This window comes from Homo sapiens, chromosome 21, assembly GCF_000001405.40.
Source record: "Homo sapiens chromosome 21, GRCh38.p14 Primary Assembly".
Lineage (NCBI taxonomy): Eukaryota > Metazoa > Chordata > Mammalia > Primates > Hominidae > Homo > Homo sapiens.
Genome location: NC_000021.9, coordinates 38282483 through 38307642, shown reverse-complemented (window position 1 = coordinate 38307642; position 25160 = coordinate 38282483). Strand labels below are relative to the sequence as shown.

The 25160-nt window shown below is 40.4% G+C and overlaps 1 protein-coding gene across 8 annotated transcripts in view; it reads right to left on the bottom strand.

Moving 5' to 3' along the window:
• Positions 1–285: 285 nt before the first annotated feature.
• The window catches only part of KCNJ15 (potassium inwardly rectifying channel subfamily J member 15), a 77432-nt gene continuing 52557 nt past the window's right edge, over positions 286–25160 (bottom strand). For 6 of the 8 annotated variants that reach the window (NM_001276439.2, NM_001276437.2, NM_001276438.2 and 3 more), the window contains 2 exons: positions 10620–10717; positions 286–8399 (listed from right to left, as the gene is read on the bottom strand). In NM_001276439.2, the coding sequence (NP_001263368.1) occupies positions 7254–8381 (1128 nt within the window). In that variant the 5' untranslated portion in view covers positions 8382–8399; positions 10620–10717 and the 3' untranslated portion in view covers positions 286–7253. Of the gene's footprint in view, positions 8400–9360; positions 9500–10619; positions 10718–15895; positions 16038–25160 lie in introns of all 8 variants that reach the window. The other 2 variants (NM_001276436.2, NM_001276435.2) reach the window with 2 other exon arrangements.

The following is a 25160-nucleotide window of genomic DNA, read 5'->3' as shown; positions in this document are numbered from 1 at the left end:
AGACTCTGTCTTAAAAAAAAAAAAAAAAAGGAGCGATGAGGCAGGGATTTCATTTTCTATTCAGTGATTGGAAAGAAGCAAAATACATTTCTTTACGTACTGATATACAGTAACACCTTGATAAGTTTTTAGGACCTAGTCATTCCCACATTATTGTGATTGCCATCACTGGAAAAGGTTATTTCAAATAAGTTCCCCTCTGAACTTTCTAAGGACATATTAGATTTTTTGTCTGTCAGAGCACCACTGTAACACCATTACCATTCCAGTGAAACAAAAAGAAACTCAAGACTGTAAAATTAGCTTTATAGTGTTTGCCATTGTTTCACAAGTTACAGTAATTCCATTTATCCGGAGAGAAAAAAAAGGTGATGGAGACACATATGGAAATAAAGGATTTGACAAGTAAACGGATGAATTCATAGCATACAAAAGTAGGTATTTAAAGCTGTCTGGTCATTGTATGATTGGGTTCAGTGATGACAGAGTATCCACAGTTAGTGTGAGATTTCCGACATGCACCAAATAGTAGCTCAGCCTTGAGAAACACAAACCACCATTCTGCTGGAGCAAATCCAAGCTTAAGACTCACTTAAGAACCATGGGAAAGCAAGGACATATATCTTGCAACACTGTATAAGGATCAGATGTGGTTCTATATATAGCAAGAGACCTAAGTGTGATCAAGATTTTGGTAAGTACACACTGCCAGGAGTTACAAGCAGTGGGATTGTTTGCATATAAAATCTACATGTCATTTGGGATTTCCATCACCATAACATTCCCATGAATTTCATTAAGTAGCATTTTGGAGTCCGTCCTTCTGGAATGGAGATTCTGTTTACAAAAGCCTTATTTTTGTAACTTACAATTCCATGACACCTTACAGAAATAATTCCTCAAAAATGGATCCAAGTCGGCTGCTATCCTTCCTCTCCTGGCTGCTACGTAACACTTCGTGTCAGTACACAAACACAGCTTCCTTTTGTGATCTGGAGGTTTGTTTTTGTAAAAAGCCGCTGATACAGTCATACTTCCTGTAATGATTTGATGTAATACGACATCCTTAATCCTGAGATTTGATTGCAGATGAAAGAATACAGCTAAAACTACAGTGAATGAAAAAAATCTTCCCTTTGAACTTCCCTCCAATCACCTTCTTGGAAGCTCTTTACTCTTCTATAATATTAAGTAAATTTGCATAAAGTAAGTCAGCTGAGAGATCACGCATTTCCTAGCTCAGAGTCAACAACTTATGGTTTTTTTTTTTTAAGGAAATAGATACTCTATAATCAACTATAGTAATTCCCTTGGAGTCTAATTTTGAGTAGATCTAACTTTTATTTACTGAAATATTTTTGAGGGTGAAATTTGAAATTTTAAGTAGGTGGGAAGGCATGGACACCAGATAAGATTTGGCCTTGAATAAAAATAAAATTATAGCTAAGTACTACATCATGTGGCAAGGGTTGCTAACCAAACAAAACTTAGTGATGGACTTTTAGGAGGACTCTTTTGTAAAACCATCAGCCTAATTCTGCAACTGGGGCTTGAGAATCTGGGCTCCTGTGCACCCACGTGGAGGGCGACTTTGAGCCCATCCTTCTAGGGTGATGCCCCAGGGAAGACCATTCCTCACTATGGAGACTCAGACAGTGCACGCTGCTCCACACTGCACACAGGAGTGTCAAAGACTGGGTTCCCCGTGTTCAGCTGAAATTTTCCCTTGATAATTGGGCAAGCCAGGGAAATATGTTTCTGGAATACTCCCTGACTCTACTACTAGTTGTATGAATATCATAAACTCCAAATAAAGAGGCATGTATTTCTCTTGTAGAAATGGGCATAGTTTGGGATTATGTGAACACTCTTTGTAAATTTGTCAGATTTGGCAAATAACTATTCAGGACAGGAGTTTCAGTTAAGTTTGAAGATTTGTCTAATTTCCAAGGCAATTTTGTAATATATGGGGAAAAAAAGGTTGCATGTAAGACATTTAAGGTATCCTAAAAAAGTCTACACAAATAAAAAATTACTCCATATAGGACATATTCTGCACATACAGAGTGCCTGGCAGCCCTAGCTCTCTGGCATTATATTCAGATTACAAAGACTTTGCCTACATATATGACATCGTTGGCTTTTATACTCGTGTATCAGTTCTGTCCTTTGACTTCCACCATCCTTTCTTGTAATTTTTATTAGCTATTAAGTATCAACTCCAATCAACCGCCTTCTCTTGGTCTTCTATTTTTACACACTGCCAACATACCAATTGAAAAGTAAAAATTCCTGCCCTCAAATATGTGGATATCTGAATGTCCATAAATTCCTAATTTGAATTTGAATTGATTATTTTTTAACCCACCAATCTATTTGACTTTATAGAATGAACAGCAAATATGAAGAAACAGTCAACCAAGCATGTATGATGTTGAAAAGAAATTGGGTGCAAGATAAGGAGGGCCATAGGGTTAAGTGAAGTGAAGTGTCTGAAGGTCTAGTTTTGCCACGTTTATTTTCTTTTCTTTTCTTTTTCTTTTTCTTTTTTTTTTTTTTTTTGAGACGGAGTTTTACTTTTGTTGCCCAGGCTGGAGTGCAGTGGCGCGATCTTAGCTCACTGCAACGTCCACCTCCCGGGTTCAAGCGAATCTCCTGCCTCAGTCTCCTGAGTAGCTGGGATTACAGGCACGCACCACCACACCTGGCTTGTAGGCGGGCAGATCACGAGGTCATGAGATCGAGACCATCCTGGTTAACACGGTGAAACCCCGTCTCTACTAAAAACACAAAAACAAAATTAGCCGGGCATGGTGGCGAGCGCCTGTAGTCCCAGCTACTCGGGAGGCTGAGGGAGAGAATGGCGTGAACCTGGAAGCGGACTTGCAGTGAGCCGAAATCGCGCCACTGCACTCTAGCAGCCTGGGCGACAGAGCGAGACCCAGTATCAAAAAAAAAAAAAAAAAAAAAAAAAAAAAAAGATAAATTGAAGTTTACAAAGGGTAAAGTGTATGCAGTTAACCATTTAGAAGTGAATGTTAAGCTTTTGACCTTTAAGTGTAAGTAAGTCCTCCTGGGAGGAAGAAAATTAAGAGCCTCTTGTACCTACCCAGAGTTTAACAATCAGAGACTAGATTTCGAGTGCACACCACAAAACTTGGAAATCAAGACTGGAAATGTTAGTACCTTTCGCTTAAAAAATTACATCATGGAAAGCTATGATAAAACTAGTTATTGGATGAAACTGGAAACCATCATTCTCAGCAAACTATCTCAAGGACAGAAAACCAAACACCGCATGTTCTCACTCATAGGTGGAAATTGAACAATGAGAACACATGGACACAGGAAGGGGAACATCACACACCGGGGACTGTTGTGGGGTGGGGGGAGGGGGGAGGGATAGCATTAGGAGATATACCTAATGCTAAATGACGAGTTAATGGGTGCAGCACACCAACATGGCACATGTATACATATGTAACAAACCTGCACGTTGTGCACATGTACCCTAAAACTTAAAGTATAATAATAATAAAATTAAAAAAAATAAAAAGCTGATTTTCAAGTTCAAAAAAAAAAAACTAGTTATTTCAGAAATTTAATAGAAGAAAAGTCTAGCAAGAATGAAAGCCAAAATTGAGAGCGTGAGAGTATTCACTGTGCCATGTGGTCAAATGTCTGACATTTTGAACATCATGACAGCATATAGAACCAAACCTAGTCAAAGGCCTAGTGCTTTCATTTTTCTCTTCTTCTCCCTCCAGCTGGGCATATATATTGAAGACTCAAATAAGGGAGACAGAATAATGCTAGAGTGCAAATGCCACTATTTTTTTCATGCTGGAGTAGAAATGCCACCTTAAAAATATATCTTTGTTTACATTTCGATAATATTGAAATCACAGTCTATTAAAAATTGGGAAATTTAATTCAAATAAAAATCCAACAAAATAGTTGTTTTGATTTATTAAACATCTGGTTCATTCATTCATGGCATTTTTTTCACCTTAAACCAGCTCTTTAGATTTCTGGACACTCTGCGTTGTGTTGTAATTTCCCCAGGATGAAAAAGGGAGCCAATGCATGACTCCCAACCCCATCCCAAAGGAGTGGGGTTGGGTGACTCAGTGCTTTGCTGTCCAGAGCCACTGTCTGCCAGGCACCATGTGAGCACTATTTTATTGCTGAATAAGACGTGGCTTGTGGGGCACACTGATTTACTGCTGTTGACTCTGGTTTCTCAAATGGAACACAACGTTTTTTAATGGTCTCATTGAGAAAACCTAACACATTAGAAATGTTTCAAAATTCAAAAGCCTTTTTGGGTCAGGAATACTCCACTACTTTGGCTCCTCCTTAGTTGGGTGTTGAGTGTGAATCTGTTTCAAGCAGAAGACCGACCAGATATAATAAATTAAGTTGGCTACCTAAATCCTTTGTTAGCATAGTAACATGAAAGTATTACGTACAAAGTAATAATAGTTAAGGTTCCAGGAAAATGGTAAGTTTCAAATCAGATACAACTTCAGAGCTATTTATTGAATATTATATGATTTGTTGACTTATACATATATTGGTTTTTAAGACACTCTTAAAAACGAGACACTCTTAAGGCACTCTTAAGACCAGATATTTAGATAAATTGAAACAACTATTTTGTTTGATTTTTATTTGAATTAAATTTCCAATTTTAATAGACTGTGATTTCAATATTATCTAAATATAAAATAAGATATTTTTAAGGTGATATTTCTGCTGCAATATTTGTTTTGAGTGTGTAGAGCAAAAGATAAGATGATCAAGTCTTCCAAATTTGGCTGAAATTGATATGCTAAATGACAATACAAAATTTTTTTTGGATCTTATGCTACGTCCTTGTACCATATACAATATAAATGAACAAGATTTTTAATTGGCATCACATTCAAATTAGCATTGATATGAATACTGTGAAAAGAATTTAATAGTGCAACAGAAAAGGTGTAAACATGCCCGTGGCATTATTTTTTGTTGATTATACCACACTATACAGTAAAAATAGCAAGTATAATAACTAAAAGAGATAATATCTAACTACACTGACATGTAATATTTTTTTAAGGAATGGAGATCTAAAGCAACCTTCCATAAAATTATCAACAGACAAGGAAAAAAAAACCTTCTAAATAATTAAAGACAACATCCTCCCTCTCGTTCATGGATTGAGGGCATTCTTTAAACTTTCACAAACTTTCCTCCCACTATTCTTACACCTGCCTTAAACTAGTTCAGTTCCAGGCCAGGGATTTTAGCCACATTTTCTGTTTAATGGGAGGACATTTGCAAATGCAGTAACATCAATATATATCCAGATTTGCTGTAATCTATACCATCATTTCACTGATAACCTGAATCCACTTTATTTTCCCCATTTTCTCTGAGTCCCAATGTTCATATTTTTATAGAACTAGAACCAAATAGACATGAACATATTTGTCAAGGACTTGCTGTCTTAACCTCAAATGTCTTTCACTGATGACTACCATGATTATGCTTGAAGAGCCAGGGCCTGTGCAAGTGTGTGCGTGTGTGCATGTGTGCGCGTGTGTGCATGTGTGCATGTGTTTACGTGTGCGTATGTGTGTGTGCATGTGTGCGTGTGTGCACGCGCGTGTGTGCATGTGTGTGTGTGTGCGTGTGTGACTGTGTGTGTGCTTGGTGGGGGGAATCATGCGTACATCTTTGTATGTATGCAGGGGCTGAATATTCATGGCCACATTCTGCTTGAGTGAATGCGCAAATCTGTCTTTGTTTGAATGAAATGAGAATTCACCTTTTGGACATTTAACCAGTCATAGCCCATTTATTTTTTGCCTCAAAGGAATGCAGGGCACTAGACCCCTGAATTTGGCCCGGGGCAAAATGTTACCTCTTGGTATGAGCTTTATTTAAATAGCAGGGGTATTCTTTACAGGCTTGAGATTTTCAAATCTTGTTCATGCATCAAAGAGTCATCTTGTTTATGAGTTTCTTACCTTCAGCTCCTCTTCTTCCTCATGGCCCCACCGGACCTTACAAACATCAGCATCTGAGAACATTTCCTGTATTGTCAGGCAGCTGAATTTTTCTTTTGTGCTAACTGTAATCAGCAAGCATGACTGAGACAACAATTACTCTCAAGAGCTTTATTTTGCTCTTGGAATGTCAGGGGATAATCCTATGCAGTTCCTTTATGGGCAAGCCATTTTAATAGATAAGAAATGAAATGGCTGAAAGAAATATTGGCCAATAATAATGAAATGAAGAGAGGCCAGGTCTGGATGCCACAGGGATACGGGACCCACACAGAGTCAGTTTTCCACACGGCTTCAGAAAGTTGCTTTGAGAACACTGTCCAGAGCACAGCTTTCGAACTTTCATTTGTACACAAATCATCTGGGGTTCTTGTTAAGATACAGACCCCAATTCTGTAAGTCTGGCTGGGACATGAGAATCTACACATTACTAATAAGCTCTCGGATGGTGCTGATGTGGCGGGTCTGTGAACCACATTTTGAATGGAAATATTTTGAATGGAAAGAGATAGTGGATTCAAAAATAAATAAAATAAAATAGAGGAAACAATGGCATCAGCCCCATTTGTGTAGGTTTCCACAGTTGTGAATTACAGATCTGATCAATTTCCTTCCATACAATTCAGTCCACTGAAGAAAGGTAAAAATGAAATTACTATATTTTGTGAACATAGAGTCTCTCTACCTCTTTTTAGGTATTACCACATAGACATAATTAGATATAATATTTTTCCTGCTTGAACAAAAAGAGCATGTTTTAAAGCAGTGAGATCAATGAATACTGAACCACAATTCAACTCTCAGCCATAAGGTCATTGGTTAAATAAATATCTTGTATTACAGCTAATAATCTTGTATAGAAATACATTTCCTTTTAATGTCAGGATTGCTAAATGTCTGTTTATCTAACAGGACATTATTCCAATTGCCCTACACCAAGCTCTTAGAAATGTAGCTTTATTTTATACAATTTGAATTATGAGAGTTCACTTTCAGACGAAGCACCTAACAGGAAATCTCTCAAACACAGAAATGCTGGTTTAGCCACAAGATCAAAGGAAAAGATTGATTTTGTATGTCCGTGCAGTTTTTGAGAGTGCGTCTACACATTTTCGTTTTCACAGCAATCTTTGTGTTTGAAGGGAGTTCTGATGTGGAAACAGCTTGCAGGGTTAAACCTGGATGGCGCCCCTGTGATCAGACATTGCTCTGTTGTAATAAAAGTGTCCTCAGTTCTCTTTCCCTCTGATCCTCCTGCCTGTACTTCTCCTCGAGTTGCTGTTTCTCAGAATCTGCACAGTAAAATGTGCAATCTGGGCTTTTCCGAATCTGTTCAAACTGACTGAAATCAGCCACATATTTTCCATTTTTGGAGAGAGATACCACAGGCACAAACTCAAAACCCCAGTAGATTTCCTCTGGGATATAAGATGTTCGGCTCTGGCAGACAGCGCTGGTGGATTCCACAGTGGCATTGAGGAGGACCACAAGCTCAAACTCCTTCTCCTTTAGGTTTTGGGGTGTGAGGTCTCTCAGGGGGCTCGTCTCATCCAGCACATGGTAGAATGTCATGGGCAGAATGAGGAAGGGGCTCTCAGAGGAGGAGTCCACGTGGAATTTGACAGTGGCTTGGTTGAGGAGAATCCGCTCCCCCTCCTTGGTGACGTGGGTCTGCAGGAGCTTGCCAGAGAGCTGGCACTGAATCAAGAGGCTCTTCCTCATATTGGCTACCTGAATCACCAAGCACAGCTTCCCATTCTGCTTGGTGATGACTGCACAGTGGCTGAACTTGATGGTCTCAGCCCGCTTTTTGGGTCTGGCGATTTTGGCCAGGAAGGTTCCGGTGATGAAGATCTCAATCAAGGTCGTGATGACCAACTGAGCAACCAACAGGAAGATGGCATGAGGACATTCCTCTGTGATGGAACGGACTCCATAGCCAATGGTTGTCTGGGATTCCAGGGAAAAGAGAAACGCCCCAGTGAGAGAGTCCACTTTCATGATGCAGGGGGTATGATTTGAAATGGGCTCACCGGGTTCTAAGTCCCCATGAATAAACGCGATGGCATAGTAGATGACTCCAAAAAGGAACCAGGTCATCACAAAAGTGGCAGCGAACAGGGTGAGTTTGTATCTCCACTTCATGTCGATAACTGTGGTCCACAGGTCTTGCAGGTAGAGTAGGTATATGCCATCCACTTTGTCAATTCTCACGTTGCTGTGCCCACTCTTGGACATGACGCGGGGTCTGTTGGCCTTGAGCCCAGCCCCAGCAGTGTGCTTCACCAGGGGGGTGCTGGACATGCCGATGTGAATGGCATCCATTGCCAGGCTCTGGAAACACTTAGAGAAATGACAAAGATGTTTCATTATCGCCATATGTGGTGGAACTTCCAGAAAATAGAATCATCATGTGAAGTAAGTATGAATGTACATGGAAGTACACAAGAAAGGAGAATTCTGAAGGCAAGATTAACTGATCTATACTTAGGTGGTCGGTAGGGTAGAGTGAGGAGCAGAGGCTTTGCAGAAAAGCAGACCGGGGTTAAATGCTGACTCTGCAATTCATCAGCTGTGTGACCTGCAGAAAGCTATTTAACCTCTCTGGACCTTTGCTCTCCAGTGTTTAAAATGGCAATACAACCTATTCCTCAGGGGTTTTGTTACTATTAAACAAGGTAAAGTGTTAAAACAGAGCCTTGTGTTTCAAAAAAATAATGTTATGCTGTTTTTTGTGATAACAAACTCTTATGCATTTATTTCATAGAGTAATATGTTTGCTTATATTCAGCTACCATGTATTCCCAATTATAGAAAATTTAAAATTATTTGACTGAGTGTAAGTCCAGTACTGCTATAACTAAAATCTACCATCCATGAAACAGTTCTTGATATGGAGAATGTTAGTATACATTTTTAAAACTCAGTAGTAATGCATTTTTTAAAACCTATTTTTTGCATGATATTCTTTGTAATAGCAATTCGTTTTCCCCCTAATCTAATGAATAATTAAGAATCTACAGCCTCTCCTAGTTTTGTTATGACTTTGGAAAAAACTCAGTTTGAAACAACCAAAAACATTCTTAAAGCAAATAATTAGGCTTTATTAATGGCTTGATCAATATGCTGGTTATTCTTGGAAAAGTGCTACCAATGTCATTTTAGACGTGATATTTAGGTATGGCACCAAAATTCTACCTTACTCCTTAGAACTAAGCAGAACCAGCAGAAGAAATCTATTTTAAAGAGCAAATGAAAAAGTCAATAAGTGTAGGCATCTAATATTATAGTAGGAAAGACCTACCTATAAGAAGTGCTGGGCTCCCATGCTCAGCCCCAGGGAACGCTCTGCTCCATGTTAACAGCCGGGAACAAGCTGTCTGTGAGGCCCCTAGCATCTTCTAGTACCTGCCTGATGACTGACATAAATTTCCCCCACATTCCTTGAAAAAGATAATGCGGGTGATTACAGAGTAACTTTACCTGGGTGGCATGTTTTTCTTCACCTCATTGGTATTTTAGGAACTAAAAAAATCTTCCCTTTTATTAAGGAACTGATATACAGATTCATGCATTGCTCTTTCTGTTAGAGCAGTATTATCTCAATAGAAGTTGTGAAAGTAATCCTCTGGGCAAATCCCTTCAAGGAAATGGAAACTGTATCCATTAGCAGCAAACACCTGTTCAGGAGGCAATGGGTCTGCTGGGCATTTTAATTTTCCTGTTACTTTATTAAGAGTGTGTTATTTACTAAATGCCCCCTTGTAATTGACTTTTCTTTAGAAAGTCACGTTTTCATTTTTGTTGAAAAGAAGGGCCATAAATTATTCAAAATTTGTTTACCTTGAAGCAAATTCCACTGTTCTTGGGATCAAGTTAGAAGAAAAGTACAGGATATAATTGATGAACTAGGGCCTTACTATACCCTCAGCAACACTTCTCAGTGTAACGAAGAGGAAAGTGACCACAATAAAGGTTTGGAAATGAAACGCCATTCTGGCATGCCCAAATGCACAGACAAACTTGTAACATGAGCACCAGCAGAGACAAATGCAGCCTGTCTGCAAGTGACTGCATGCATTTTTTTTAAGCTGCTGAGGAAACTGCATGCCATTCAATCCACTGAAATAAAAACAGAGGATTAAGTTTTCCAGTGTGAGTGATACACAAGTGTCCTGCGGGCACTCAGCCCTCTGCCAGATTCTGGAAAGCTTGGCCCTGTTTTTATGAAGGCAGCACCATGAAGCTTCTGTTTGAAACTCTCTTTCAAAGGGGCAGCAAGCCAGGCTTGGGATGAACTGTATCTGTTTCCTCTTTCTGCTGAGAGCGCTTTTGCTGCAGTCCTGTGTATATAGTGCTGGAGTTAATGGCATCTATCATACCTCCTATCAAGTCTTGGTGGACAGAAATCACAGGACAAGACCTAGAGCCTCTGGGTGTGTTGGGGGCAGCATTTCTCAGTGGGAAAGAGAGCAGCTGGCACTCAGCAGTCAAAGGGTGCCATGGCCCTCTCTGTCCTCCTCCCTCCCTCAAGTGTGTGATGCCCTCAGAACCGTCTACTACCTGGTCACTCACTCCGCAGGTCAGGTGTCTTCTTCAAGGCAGGTAGAACGTCCTCGCTCCCCTTCACCCACCTGGCTACCATGGGATTCTGCTACTGCCTGAAAGAAAGAGGGACACATGGATTCATAGATGGTTACCAAGTGCACCCCAGTAAAACTGACCCCCGATGATTTTCTAAGAGTTACGCAGTGGCATTTACCTTCCAATCCCTGGAAATCGGCACAGTGCACAGAATAGGGTAAAGGTTCAAGGAACGATTTAAGAAGGAAGCTGAACCCCAACCACAGCCCTCACCACACAGTTCCCAGCCCCTGGAGGGAGCTCCGTAGCAAAACACCCTGGAAAGAGAGGGTTAACCCACCCTCATTGAGGCCCGCTATGAACTGACCGGCACACGGGGAGGCAGGAAGGGGAAGTGCAGAGGAAGTAAACAGTGAGCGCTGGAAGGGAAGAGTCTAGAATATTTTTACCGCCTGTGGAAATGCATTGCTACTGTTGAGTCATAGGACATTAGAGTGGAAAAGATTGTCAGAACCATCCCACTTGACACAGCTGGGTCCTGGCAGAAAGAACAAGGTCCAAAGTCTTTGGAAGCTAGCCCAGGGTTCCTGTCAGTCCACCACAAAATCCCCTTAAACATCCACAGTTTCATGTAATCTCCTTTAAATTCAAGAGGTTCTTTTGCATGTACTTTTTGAAAATAATTCTTCCTAAGCTATCTGCCTATCTATTATCTATCTTCTATCAATCTATTATCTATCAATTATCTCTCTAATCTATCATTTATTATATATCACCAATCAATCTATTATCTATCAATTATCTATCTATTTATTACCGGTCTAAATATCTACCTGCATATTATCTATCATCTGTCAATTATTGATCTATTACCTATCAATTATCTATGATCTGTATCTATCTATCAATCATCCATCTGTCTACATCCATATATTTTTATGTCTCTCACACACACACAGGCACACTTATACTTCCTACGTTTCTTCTGATCTGCCAATTATTTACAGTTATTACTCTCTTATAGTTAAAGTATTCCCAATTAACCTGTGCATCCTCTTACAGGCTGGATCCTGCCAGTGTGGCCACAGCATGTTTGGCAAATGACCTCTTTGTCATTGCTCTATTAAGACCCAGAATCTTCTTTGTGCCCATCAATCTTACCCATAGGCTTTATGAATTGCACTTCATCATAGGCTCTTAATTTATAGAATTTTATTCCTCAGCAGACTTCTTTCATGAAGTTTGAATCAGTGTTGATACATACTCTTATTTCATATAATTTTATGTTACTGCCTTAGGTTATATTCCCTTAGTGATTCTTCAATAGACCTGGCTTAACTTCTAACATGGTAAGCAACAATAACAGTTTTCCAAAAGATAAAAACACAAAGAATGAGAGAAGAATAGTTTCTTCTAATTTCCCCTATCTTAACCTTTTTCCCATTAAAAAAAAAAGTGCAGCTTGCCACCAGTACTCACTTAATTTTACATAAACATGCTTTTCGAGGCTGAAGCAAATCTGATTGATTTTCAATGTGAAAGTAAAACATAAAAATTGTTCTTGGAGTTATTTCTAAACAGAACTAACATCAGAATCATCTGAATCATCAGAATTGTCTATTTCGGAAAAATTGGATTCATCAAATGAATCTCTGGCCAACAACTGTTGGAGACCAATGTTAACACCATGTGTAGGAATGCTGTGTTTTCCAGGATTTGACATTTTCAGCGATCAAGAATTACTATATTTTGTAAATAAAAATACCACTACTAAAAGCAGAATGCTCTAAATAGAATGTTGTCTTTTGTTTCCAAAGTTGATATACTAGAGTGATATGAAAATAATAATAAAAGTAATATACTGTGTGGCAAAATCATCTCCAGGTAAATATTGCAGCCTCAAGTGCTGCCAGTGAGTATTCTCAGGGCAAATGAGAAAAGGGTTAATCCTCCCAGCTAAGCAATATTTCATATAAACCATTAACAGTTTTCTTTAATTTCTGGAAATAATGTTTATTTCTGCAGTTTTTGTTATATCGTTTCAGTTTGTGGGTTGGGGTTGCAATTTTTAGAATGGCGATATCTACCTAAGTGAAGTTCTTACAACTATTGAATGGATAGGTCAGTATTACTTTCTCCTACTTCAAACCAGTAAAAGATTAATGGTCTGAGGTCACTGAGTGCTTATGCTGTGAGCATTAGTTTTCTGAAGTTAAAGGAAAGAAAATAAACACACTCTGAAACAGAATGGAACAGAAGGCACATTGAAAAAGGTACTTAGCTATATGGAGAACTACACTTCCAGTGTTGGGGACACAGCAAGGATAATGGGAAATGGAAGGGTAGTACCCATTGCCATGTTGATGATGGCAATGTTTAAAGACATTGATGTCTTTAAAACTTAGAGCTCTGTTAGGCCAGATTTTGAAGATTTTCAATTTGCCCATCTCGAGAAAACTTCATTCTGCGTTTCACAGTGAACTAACAAAGCAAAGGCCCCTTAGAAAAAACATTTCTCACTTACAGAAAAATGGGGAGACAGTGGCTCCCCAGAACCGGGGTTCCTCAACTAGGCCTTCAGCGAGCTCATTCCACGTCTTTTAACCAGGGTGATGAGGCATAAAGAGTGAAATCTAAATCAAATAGTAACTTTGGATTTCTAGACTAAAATTAACTTGTGGTGGATCTCACTTTTAAGCTCTGAAAAAACATAGCTTCCTGTTTGTAAGAAAAGTTACTTAAAAAGCTTTTTGCTTTTTTGCGTGTCATATATTTCTGACAAATTAATTTTTCAATGATCTCTTTGTCCAGAAATAAAAAATGCCTGGATTAAATTTGACTTTAAGTATCACCGTTTTAAATATTAAGTAGAAAAAAAATGCTTGACAAGAATCTACTTGGGGTTCACTGAGCTCAGGAGGCTTAAAACAATTGAGAATAAAGGCTTAGCTCTCCTCCCTGGGCTCCCTCGACTGTGGTCACAGGAGCACATGCACCATGACCTTTGGCCTTGGCCTTGGGCCATTTTCCTCCCTACACTACGCAGCAGTGAAGGATCCGCTTTAAAGGCTGGTCTGACTGTACAAAGTCCAGCTTTTAACTCATCCATACCAGCCAAGGGCACAGATAGCTTTGCCAAGTGGCCTCAGAAACAGACATGTTCATTGAAAACAAGCAAGGTGGACAAAGTGGATTCTCAGCAGATTCCAGAGGGCAATCCTTCGGTTTGTATCTCCTGAGGAAATTCTACTTTCCTTCTGCAAAAGCACTTTTTCCTTAGACTACTGAGGACTGAAGGATGGCCCAGAAAGAATGACAGCTCCTTGGAGGCTGAAGAATCACTCATTCTCCTCCAGGGGAATTATCAGGATTTCAGGGGAAGCACCAGTTGAGATTACAGCACACTTGGAAGCTAGTTTCCTCTCAGTGACCTGTGTTTGGAAGATGTGTTTGAACTTGGAAACTATTGGTAGAGCTGTGACAATTTGGGAGGTTGTGGTTGATGTATGTTGCTCCCAACTATTTGCTGTGCCTCTCGGCTGGGTCCTTCCACAAAGGATCCTTCACTGGGACTTTCCCTGCCCGGGCGTAGCGGGGGTGGGGTGTGTGTTTCCTACTCCCTTGTGTCAGGTGTGGCCCTGTCACCTGCTTTGGCCAATGGAGTGTGAACAGCAGTAACCCACACCATGCCTGAAGAGAGGTGTCGGGATCATCACATGGCTTGCCTTGCATGTGGGTGGGTCATGGATTGGGCTGTTCCTTCCTTCTGGTAAGTGGGAAGAAGGAAACTTGGAACTGAGCCATAATTCAACTACAGCTGACTTGAAACACAGGTGAGAAAAAATTCTTGTTGCTGTAAGCCACACAGTTCTTAGAGTTGTTAACAAGGCAAAACCTAGTGAAACCTGACCACAGAGACATTTTCACGATTAATACATATTTTTTTATCTTAGGATTATATGCCTGACCTAAAAGGTACTGCATTTAAAGGAAAGATATAAAGTTCTGAAATATTCCTTTTTTTTTTTTTTTTTGAGACAGCATCTCACTCTGTCACGCAGGCTGGAGTGCAGTGGCACAATCTTGGCTCACTGCAATCTCTGCCTCCTGGGTTCAAGCGACTCTCCTGCCTCAGCCTTCCAAGCAGCTGGGATTACAGGCACCCGCCATTACGCCTGGCTAATTTTTGTATTTTTAGTAGAGATGGGGTTTCACCATGTTGGCCAGCTTGGTCTGGAACTCCTGACCTCAGGTGATCTGCTCACCTCAGCCTCCCAAAGTGCCGGGATTACAGTTGAGAGCCACTGCACCCAACTGAGTTGTGAAATAGTCTTAATGTAAACTCTGAATGTTGGTCTATGACTCAACACTGAATACAAAAAGAACCCAAATTCAACAAGATTGTAATGGCAAGAATGGCTTGCCTTATCCCTAAGAACAACATAGAAAAGGTGACTAATTATCTTTTGATTACTTCTGAGTCAATATTTACATTTATCATGACAAGATAGCTTTTTAGGGAAAGTTGTAAGGGTATCATATCCTATCATTCTAATATTTTGTGGAGCAAGAAGCCCAAGTTTAAGGACCTAGTGGCCTCAGGATCTGTAATCACATAGACACACTGGGCCGCCCAGGTACCACTGTCATTAGGTCATTGATAGCTTTCATTTGGGAAGGGACAACTTAAAAGGGTCCAGGCACTTTTCAAAGCAGTTATAGATATTATCTTATTGAATCCCTCTCTTTACCTTGGGGAGAAATTATTTTCTCTATTTTCTAGGTGACGAAACTAAGCTTAGAGAAATTAAATAATTTACATGCATTCACAAAGCTAATACATGGAGCACCTGGTGAGCAAACCAGCTCTGTCTGCTCCCACGGCTGCACTCCTATCTAACCACCATCATCAGCATTAGCTTGCAAAGGAGTCTCGTGGTGCAGTGTGACAAAGCTAAGTTCCTGCTCACTACGCGTCAGCATCCATTATAGATTAAGCAGCTGTAATTAATTGACTCATTGCTCACCCTGTGCCAGGCCTGATATTAGGTATTATATATTAATTTAATTCTCACATAGACTCTGAAGTAAGTACTAATATTATTCCCATATTTCAGACAAAGGAACTGTGATATAGCACAAGGTATGTTGGAATCCATAGTCCATGCTTCTGATCTCAACACTGTGTCTCTAACTTCAGTGTGCTTTAGAATCACCTGGAGGGGTTGATAAAAATGCAAATGACTGGGTCCTACCTCAGAATTTCCGATTCAGCAGGTTTGGGGTGCAGCCAGAGGGTCTGTAGTTCTGATAATTTCCCAGATATCCCCGATGCTGTTAGACCTTAGACTACACTTGGAAAACCACGATTTATACTCTTCACCACTTAAAAGTTATCTGGAATATGGAGAAAATGAATAAGCCAAGAAATTAGATTGTCTAAAATTTAGTCTCATTACTTTCAAACAAAGGAATGGAGAAAGTCATTGGGATTAAATATATAAGTACTGCAGTGGCCAGGTGGAGTTTTTAGTTAGAAAATGTTTCCTTGGGGATAGAAATTCGGGTGTAATGTCTTGGCAAAAAGTTGAGAATTGCTGGAAAAAAGCAAACAGGTAGTAGAAAATTGCTCTCAGGTTTCTTCCTTGGATAATGGGTATCATTAAGGGAAGCTTTTAGCATTGGCCTGGCTGGGAACATTGGAGGACTGTGGGGAGAACCTAGATTCTAGGATGGGAAAGTTAAGGCTGGAGGACATTAGGGGTTCTCTTGCTGAAGTGTGTGATTCAGGTGTTCCATACACATAAAGGAATTTGTGGTTAAATACTTTTGGAAGGATTTGCCTACTGGAGCTGAAGCTGAGCCCCCAGACACCCCATTGTTTTCACTCTTTGGAGAGCCACATTGCACATTTGTTTATTACAGTTTCTGAGACGTCCTACAGTTATAAAACCTGCTTAACTGTAGCTATATATACGTGTGTGTGTGTGTGTGTGTGTGTGTGTGTTTAGCCTTTTTATGACATTTGAGAACACTGAGGAGTGCTGATCTGGTCTAAACTCTACACTTTATATCTAGGGAGATAAAAGGATCAAAAAGTTTGAGTAACTTGTTCAAGGTTACTGAGCCAGTAACAAGGTTAGAGCTGGAAACAAGCTTTTGTGAATCTTAGTCCATTTTACGGGTAGGTATCTCTCTTCGTGGTCACACTCTATGTTGAGATGAGTTATCCATCTCACTGGCTACTGGAAACAGGGTGGTATAGAATAGTGTGACCCTTCTCCCCTCATCCAACCGCAGCATCTCCATCGTCAGAAATGCAGGCTCTCAGGCTCCACACCTGAGCTACTTAACCAGAAGTTCTTGGGGTACAGTTCCCAAGAACCTGTCTTCAAAAGAACTCAATTTCCCCAAGCAATTCGGTAGCTGGAGTTTGCTAGTGATGCCTTGGCAAATTGGAGAGGTGCTCCTCTCACCCTACTATACATTAGAAAAGCAAAAAGTGTTCCTTTACAGACCAATCCACATTTGCATTGCATGTGAGCATGTAATAATGCAATTTGCCTCTGTGGTCAGATATGTAGCTTTTTTCCTATGTTTCTGTTCCATTATTATTGTTTGAAATTCCATAAGTACTAAAAAAAATTCTTTTCCATCTCTAAATGTGGTTTGCATCGTTGTTCCCTTTACTCCTCGATGCGAATTCTTTAAAAACTTTTTTTTAATCTCATAGAACATCAACCCTTCTGTACTCGACAAAGACAAGTTTAAACAGATTCCGGGCCCAACAGGGGACTCATTTGCCATTTTCCATGGCAAAGAATCTGAGCACTGGAATAAGCCAGAGGTATCATTTACTGAATATTTTCATAAAGACAGTTTAATTTCAGGCCCTTTATTTGTGAGAGAGCTGGCTAACCCAAATAAAACATTACACATCTGTCTGTTGTTACGAGTGACCAACCTCCGCTGAACATTATTACCTAATAACAACTAACTTCCCTATAGAGTGAGAGTGCCGCAGCGGAGGGCAAATGGAAATTTCCTGTGGTTTACCACCCTTGGCCTCTCCCTGCTCCAACATGCGAAGAACTTGGGTAATAAGCATATTCTCCCTCTAATCACAGCGTGGCTTGGACATGCATTGTTGTGAGATGACTGGCAAAACAGGAACACTGATGTCTGGAAGTGAGTGTGGAGGGGGTGAGGAGGCGAATTGTACTGTGTCAGCCTCCGTAATGCACTGCTCAATTTTCTTTTTTTCTTTTTTGAGATGGAGTCTGTCTCTGTCGCCCAGGCTGGAGTGGAGTGGCACAATCTCAGCTCCCTGCAACCCCTGCCTCCCAGATTCAAGCGATTCTCCTTCCTTAGCTTCCTAAGTAGCTGGGATTACAGGTGTGCACCACCACACCCAGCTAATTTTTGTATTTTTAGTAGAGATGGGGTTTCACCATGTTGGCCAGGCTGGTCTTGAACTCCTGACCTCAAGTGATCCACCTGCCTCGACCTCCCAAAGTGCTGGGATTACAGGTGTGAGCCACTGCTCCTGGTCCCAATTTTCTCCTTAGGAAAGAGATTTCTTCAACAGGCTAGTGGAATCTCACTCACTATTTTTGTCTGGATTAGTCCAAACCTACAACAGAGGAGAAGATGGCTCAAAACAGTACCATTTGGTTAAGGAGAAGGAAATCCACAGCGTTTGGGTTTGTCTGACTGTGGTATAAATCAGAGTGGAAGGCTTCTGTTTTTGCAGATAATACTGGTAGAGAAGCAAGTATTTGACCTTTTTTTTTTTTTTTTTTTTTTGAGACAGTCTTGCTCTGTTGCCGAGGCTGGAGAGTGCAATGGTGCGATCTCAGCTCACTGCAACCTCAGCCTCCTGGGTTCAAATGATTCTCGTGCCTCAACCTCCCGAGGAGCTGGGATTATAGGCATGCACCACCATACCCGGCTAATTTATGTATTTTTAATAGAGATGGGGTTTAACCATGTTGGCCAGGCTCTCGAACTCCTGACCTCAAGTGATCTGCCTGCCTCCGCCTCCCAAAGTGATGAGATTACAGGCGTGAGCCACCGCGCCCGGCTTAATGTGTTTTATTTAATGAAACTTCAAAGTGGACATGGTTGGAGCATTCACAGGAGATGACACGTGGGAAGTAAGCAGTGATGCTGGTTTTCTTAACTCCTGTTTCTGTGAGACATAAGAAGATGCTTGAGACTGGATCATGCCTTTTTATGCCATATCATTATATAATTTACAATACTTCCAAACTGACTTTCCCTTAAGTAAATCTATCTCTCTCACTAAGATGTTGAGTCTGCCAATTTTTACCACTCACATTTATCTTTCTTTGCCTCACATTTATAATATTTTGCACTACGATGAAGGCACGGAAACATAGAAAGTATGTTTTATAAATATGGGTAACAATTTCAGGCTGGCTTGTTTTCTGGCCTCATGCTGACTACTACATTTTCTTTTATTTGAAATAAATGTGGAGTTGTCAGTCTCTACAAATTGATGACTAATGGGCTCTGATGTAATTCACCTGCATGCAAAGGTAAAATTCTTATCTTCATTGGCATTCATATTAGTTATTAGCATGAATCTCATCCCAGGCAATGGAAATTACGACTTGTGCTTGATTTAAAACCAAATTATGGCTGGGCGCGGTGGCTCATGCCTGTAATCCCAGCACTTTGGGACGCCGAGGCAGGCGGATCACAAGGTCAGGAGATCGAGACCATCCTGGCTAACACGGTGAAACCCTGTCTCTACTAAAAAATACAGAAAATTAGCCGGGCGTGGTGGCAGGTGCCTGTAGTCCCAGCTGCTCGGGAGGCTGAGGCAGGAGAATGGCGTGAACCCGGGAAGTGGAGCTTGCAGTGAGCTGAGATAGCACCACTGCACTCCAGCCTGGGCAACAGAGTGAGACTCCATCTCAAAAAAAAAAAAAAAAAAAAAAAAAAAACAAAGAAAAAAACAAGTTATTTAACAATGGGACAAATGTCAAAAAGTTTTGAAATTCTGTCTCACTATCAGTCTACATTTTGACCACATTTCTCTGATATAGAAACTGTATCGCAGTGGAACACAGTTTATACCAAAATTTGCTTTAAAGACTGGTAGTATTTCTCAGTTGTTTGCTTGTCCCAAAGTTGAAAGCAGACTCTGTGATCACTGAATGATAATACAAAATTTCAAACTTAAAAATATCTTCACATTCAATCAAAAATTAAGACATTTGGCAGTTAACTAATTTCCATCACTGTACAGTGTAAGAAAACACATTCTAACCATCTGTAGTTAATTAGCCGGAGGACTATTGGCCCAAATTTGGTGTTTTTAGAGTTGCCAGATAAAATACAAGATGCCCAGTTGAATTTGAATTTCAGATGGACAGCAAATAATTTAGTATAAGCCTGTCACATGCTATATTTGCTATATGCTTATACTAAAATTATTCATTGTTTATTTGAAATTCAGAGATACATATGTACTATTTACATATATGTATCTATAGATTTGCATAGTACAGAGTGGCCTTACATTTGTATTTGCTAAATCTGCTAAATCTGGCATCCCTAGGGAAAAGCAAACTTATGCTCAAGAGTCATTCCTAAGGCCAAGAAACTTAAAGACAGGGTTTAACGTAAAGCCATCCTTCTTAGAAGAAAAAAAACAATCCAGATTTTCCCAGTACTAAAAACTCTGAAAACAAATCTAACCACTGCGGGATGGGGGTGCAGCCTTTTCATGCATGGCTTACCAGAGGTGTCAGAAAAGCTAAGAAGTTTGTCTCATTTTTAAGATATTAGCTCAGGGGCTCTTAACATTTTATGTTATGGTCTTTTTTGGTGGACTAGTGAGACACATGCCTGCCTTCTCAGAATAAAGTGTTTAAACAGATAAAAGTAAAGTCACAAAGATTACAGAAGACACCAATGATATTAAAATGCACCTATTACAGTACTGAAAAAACAAAATTATACTTTTCCAAGCATTAAATCAGAGCTAATGTTTTGAAGGTGTGGTGAGCAGCAATGTTATTTCAAGGTCTCTGAAATGACTGGAATGTGATATTGAAATGTCTGTGATTTCCACTATGACAAAGTCACAGTTGCAGCTAGTACATCTGTGGTTTGCTGCACACACTCAATACAAATTTTAGTTAGAGGCCATCTAAAATAAACTGCTGTTCTTTTCTCCTCATGTGAGATCGTGGATTCTCCTGAGTTCTACCCATATATTCTCCAGGCTTCATAGCCCTGGGATTAAATCTGACTGTGGATGAAGTTTCTAAATGCTGTAGATATTACCAGTAATTCTGGTAATATCACAGAATCAGACCAACCTATAGAGTCTTCCTTGATTTATTCCCCTCGTACACAATCTCTTGACATGTTTAACAGCCATCTCAGATACTGTGTCTTTTATGAAAATTGGCTGGACACTTAACAAAATCACAGCTAATTCCCTTTCCAGTAGGATATTCTTGCAGGCACTAATGTTAGTAATGAACATTACATTGGTGCTCACGTGATTGGAACAGTAAGACCAATGAGGAGACATTCCAACATCTTCTACTCTAGAAGTAATGGTACAGTTTCTTCTGACATAAAAACAGAGGGGGAAATAACAGAAAACAGCTCAGATACATACATAATGCTTGGTCTTCATAGCCTTACTGTAGCACTTCTCGGAAGTAGGAAGGTGGATTTTTGTTTGTTTGTTTGTTTTTGTTTTTGTTTTTTTGTTTGAGACGGAGTCTCGCTCTGTCACCTGGGCTGGAGTGCAGTGGCATGATCTCAGCTCACTACAAGCTCCGCCTCCCAGGTTCATGCCATTCTTCTGCCTCAGCCTCCCAAGTAGCTGGGACTACAGGCACCCGCCACCACGCCCAGCTAATATTTTGTATTTTTAGTAGAGACGAGGTTTCACCGTGTTAGCCAGGATGGTCTCAATCTCCTGACCTCGTGATCCGCCCGCCTCGGCCTCCCAAAGTGCTGGGATTACAGGCATGAACCACCGCGCCCAGCCAGGAAGGTGGATTTTTACAGTTAATATACCACTCAGTCACATGCAACTTTATATTGCCATGGTTTCAAGATAATTCTTACCAGGAAAGACAAAGCTTACTCATCTAGAGTACTAATTGAGACAATACTCCCTTTCATAAATCCTCCGGTATCTCCCACTGCTGACAAGACAAATCCTGAACAACTTGGAAAACCAAAAAGACCCTTAAGCCCTGGCTCTCGCTCCCTCTCTGGCTTTATTCACCTCAGAACAGAGCCTGGGTATATACTTGCCCCTTCCTGAGCAGCTGGGTGCCCTCTCAGCCCACATCTGGCACATGAATTCCTTCCTGAAGGTTCTTCATTTTCTCCCTTTCTTGGTTAACTCCCACCTGTCCTTCAAAAGTCAGGTTGAACATTATCTCTTCTGTACTTAAAAAAAATTAAACAATTCTTCAGAGGCAGTATAGCGTAAAGATTAAGAGCACAGGACCCTGCTTCTGTTAACACCAGCTGTGTGACTTTGGACAACTTTCTTAACCCCTTTGAGACTCGGTTTCCTCATATGCAGAATGGCGATGATGATCATTTCTATGCCTCATAGGGTCACGTGAAATAAAAACATATAAAGCACCATAAAACTCTGCCTGCTCGTATGATTAGTATAATGATTAGTATTAATCATTACACAAGTGTTAACTGTTATTGTCATATGCATACGACAAATAAAACATAAAATACGACTTATCAAAAGGAATCACATTTACCACGGATGAACAGCAGAGGGTTCATATAAAGTTTTCACAAATCAACAAGAGCCTTCATTCTCGTAAGTGGGCAACGTGTGTAGAAACGCAATTCAAAAAATGTTGAAAAGGTGAAAAGACATTTCAACACTTTAACATTTATTTATTGGTTTGTGTGGCAAGAATTTATTGAGCACCAACTATGTGCTAAGCATGGCACAGGATGCTGCTGATGAAGCATTAAGAGTGACTTGGTTTTTGCTCTTGGGTAGTTTGCAAGAAAACAGGGAAAAGAGGCATTAAATACATCATTAGATGAGTGATTTAAAGACATTTGTGGGAAGAACTGGGGAGAAAGTCAAGGATAGATGAGAGACTAGCACATGGGGTATATAACATGTCCTAGTCTGGAGTTGGAGCATGGAGCTTGGCACCTTCCAGGAAACGAGGAGGATATTGAGTAGGCGAGAGGGAAGCAGTGTCAGGTAGGAGCAAGGGCAGAGCCATGCCATGCCCCTGCATGTGGCTTTGTGGGCTCCTTGAGGACCGTCACCCCCATCCTTGGAGCACAAGGAGTATCTTGGGGTTTTATTCAAGGAAGAGAAAGGATCAAACTTGCTTTTGAAAGTGATCATGTTAAACGCAGCATAGGGAATGTATTGGAAAGAGTCAAACATAGATGCTGAGAGTCTGTTTAATCGGCACTTTCAGTAATCTGAGTTGAAATTACTGATGCATGGACAAGGGCGGTGTTTGTAGCTTGAGAGCTACTAGCCAGGAGCTCTGAGTGACAGGTCCCAGACAGAGTCAACAGGCGTCTCCAACAGGTGGATGTTAAGAAGACAAGGCAGAGAGAAGAGGAGGTCTCACCGATGACTCCAGGCTTCCTGGCATGGAAATGAGGTGTGTTGGGGTGGGCGGAGGCTATCTTACTGATTCAGAGGACACTGGATCTTCCTCTGTAATTTTAACATTATGCACATGTTATGGGACACCCAGATTGAATGTTTGGGTGTTATACCAGCATGGAGCTCACGCTTGTGCAGAATCCCGATGCAGAAGGAGGATCTCACCTCTGGGGTGCAGGTTTGAAGGTGTGCACTGGAGGCTGCCTGGAGACACCTAAAGAGAAGTAAGCACTAGGGTCTGTGCAGATGGGCCTGGCCTTCAACAGAGACACCTGGACAGGAGGGATGCCTTTAGCACATAAGCCAACGAGTGGAATTTGAGCCATGAAAGTGCAGGAGCTTCCCCCTTAGACAGTAGTGTGGAAGCAGCAACCCAGACTGAGCCTGAGTAGCCTTAAGACCAGGCAGAGTCAGAGATACAGGCAAAGGAGACTGAGGAGGGACCATCAGTCCAAGAAACACAAAGGCACCAGGAATTCACTTTTCACTTATCAAATTACCGAAAATTTTAAAAGACATGTGAACATTCTACATTGACGAGTTTGCAGAAATGAAGAGCTTCCTGCATGGTGTCCGATAGAGTAATCTAGCATAACTTTTTTGAGGGAGGCAGTAATTTGACAATGTATACTCAAAGTTTTAAACTATTTATGTTAGACTGCTTGAGTCAGTAAGTCTACTTTTAAGACTTAATAGGAAATGTATGATAGGATAATGTACAAGAGTGTTCTCTATATTTATTATGATATTAAAACATTAGAAGCAATCTGAGTCACCAACAATATAGGAATGGTTTTAAATTTATAAAACACTCATAGGCTGAAATATTATGCAGTGTTTAAAAATCATGAAAAAATGCTAAATATGTTTTTTAAAAGGCAATTGATACAGCTAAATATGCAGGGTAATCTCTCTGTTTCTCTCTCTAGGTAAGATCAAAATAAAACACCTCTAAAATATTAACAGCAGTTATCTCTCTAAAGGAAAACAAAATTAGGAAGGTTTTTCAACCAGATTTTCCATTTTTATGCAGTTAATCTGAAAATTCAGTTTCCCTAGCACAGACCATTTCCAAGTATTCCAGATTTTACTGTAAATGAGAAGTACTTTCTGTATTATATTACACAAAGAAACTTTCCACACAGTGTTGTGGCCAAACATTATGAAATCATTTACTCTCAGAGATATTTCCAAATATCTATTGCACAAATCCAAGAACCTAGTTTTCAGTCATCTTAAGGCTTCATTTCATTGACTGAATTAGAAGAGTTTGCACTTCACCCAGAGATACTGCTGATAAAGCAGATATCCTGCCCTATACCTTTGCTTAGGCTGACCCCTTTATTCCATATTTCTTCTTTGCTCTATGCCTGGTAAACTCCTACGCATCCCTCGAGGCCCCGCTCAAATGTCATCTCCTCCAGCATGCAGGTAGCGTTCACCTTGTTCCTCTCTTCTGCCTTCTCATTGTCCACACCTCATGATAATACTTACTGTGCTGCTGTAATGATCAGTCTTGGAGTTTAGCTTTCCCCATAGACTGGGCACAGTAGTTCATCCTGAGTGGCAAACACAAGGCCTGGCATGTGGTAGGAACTTAATGTTTAAGGGAGGCACACGGTGGGCAGAGATGCCATTCAAGGGGACTCAGCGTCCGATTTAGTAAGAATGTCACTTGCCTAAGGTTATGATGCCCAACGTTCTAGGTCAGAGAGGAATCCCAGAGAGGAATCCAGTCCACAGCTAGGCACATTGTTCGGGTGAAGAATATTTCACTGATTTGAACAATTCAATTAGAAATAAAGATTTCGTCTTCCTATTCTGATTCGTAGCACAAAGAATATGCC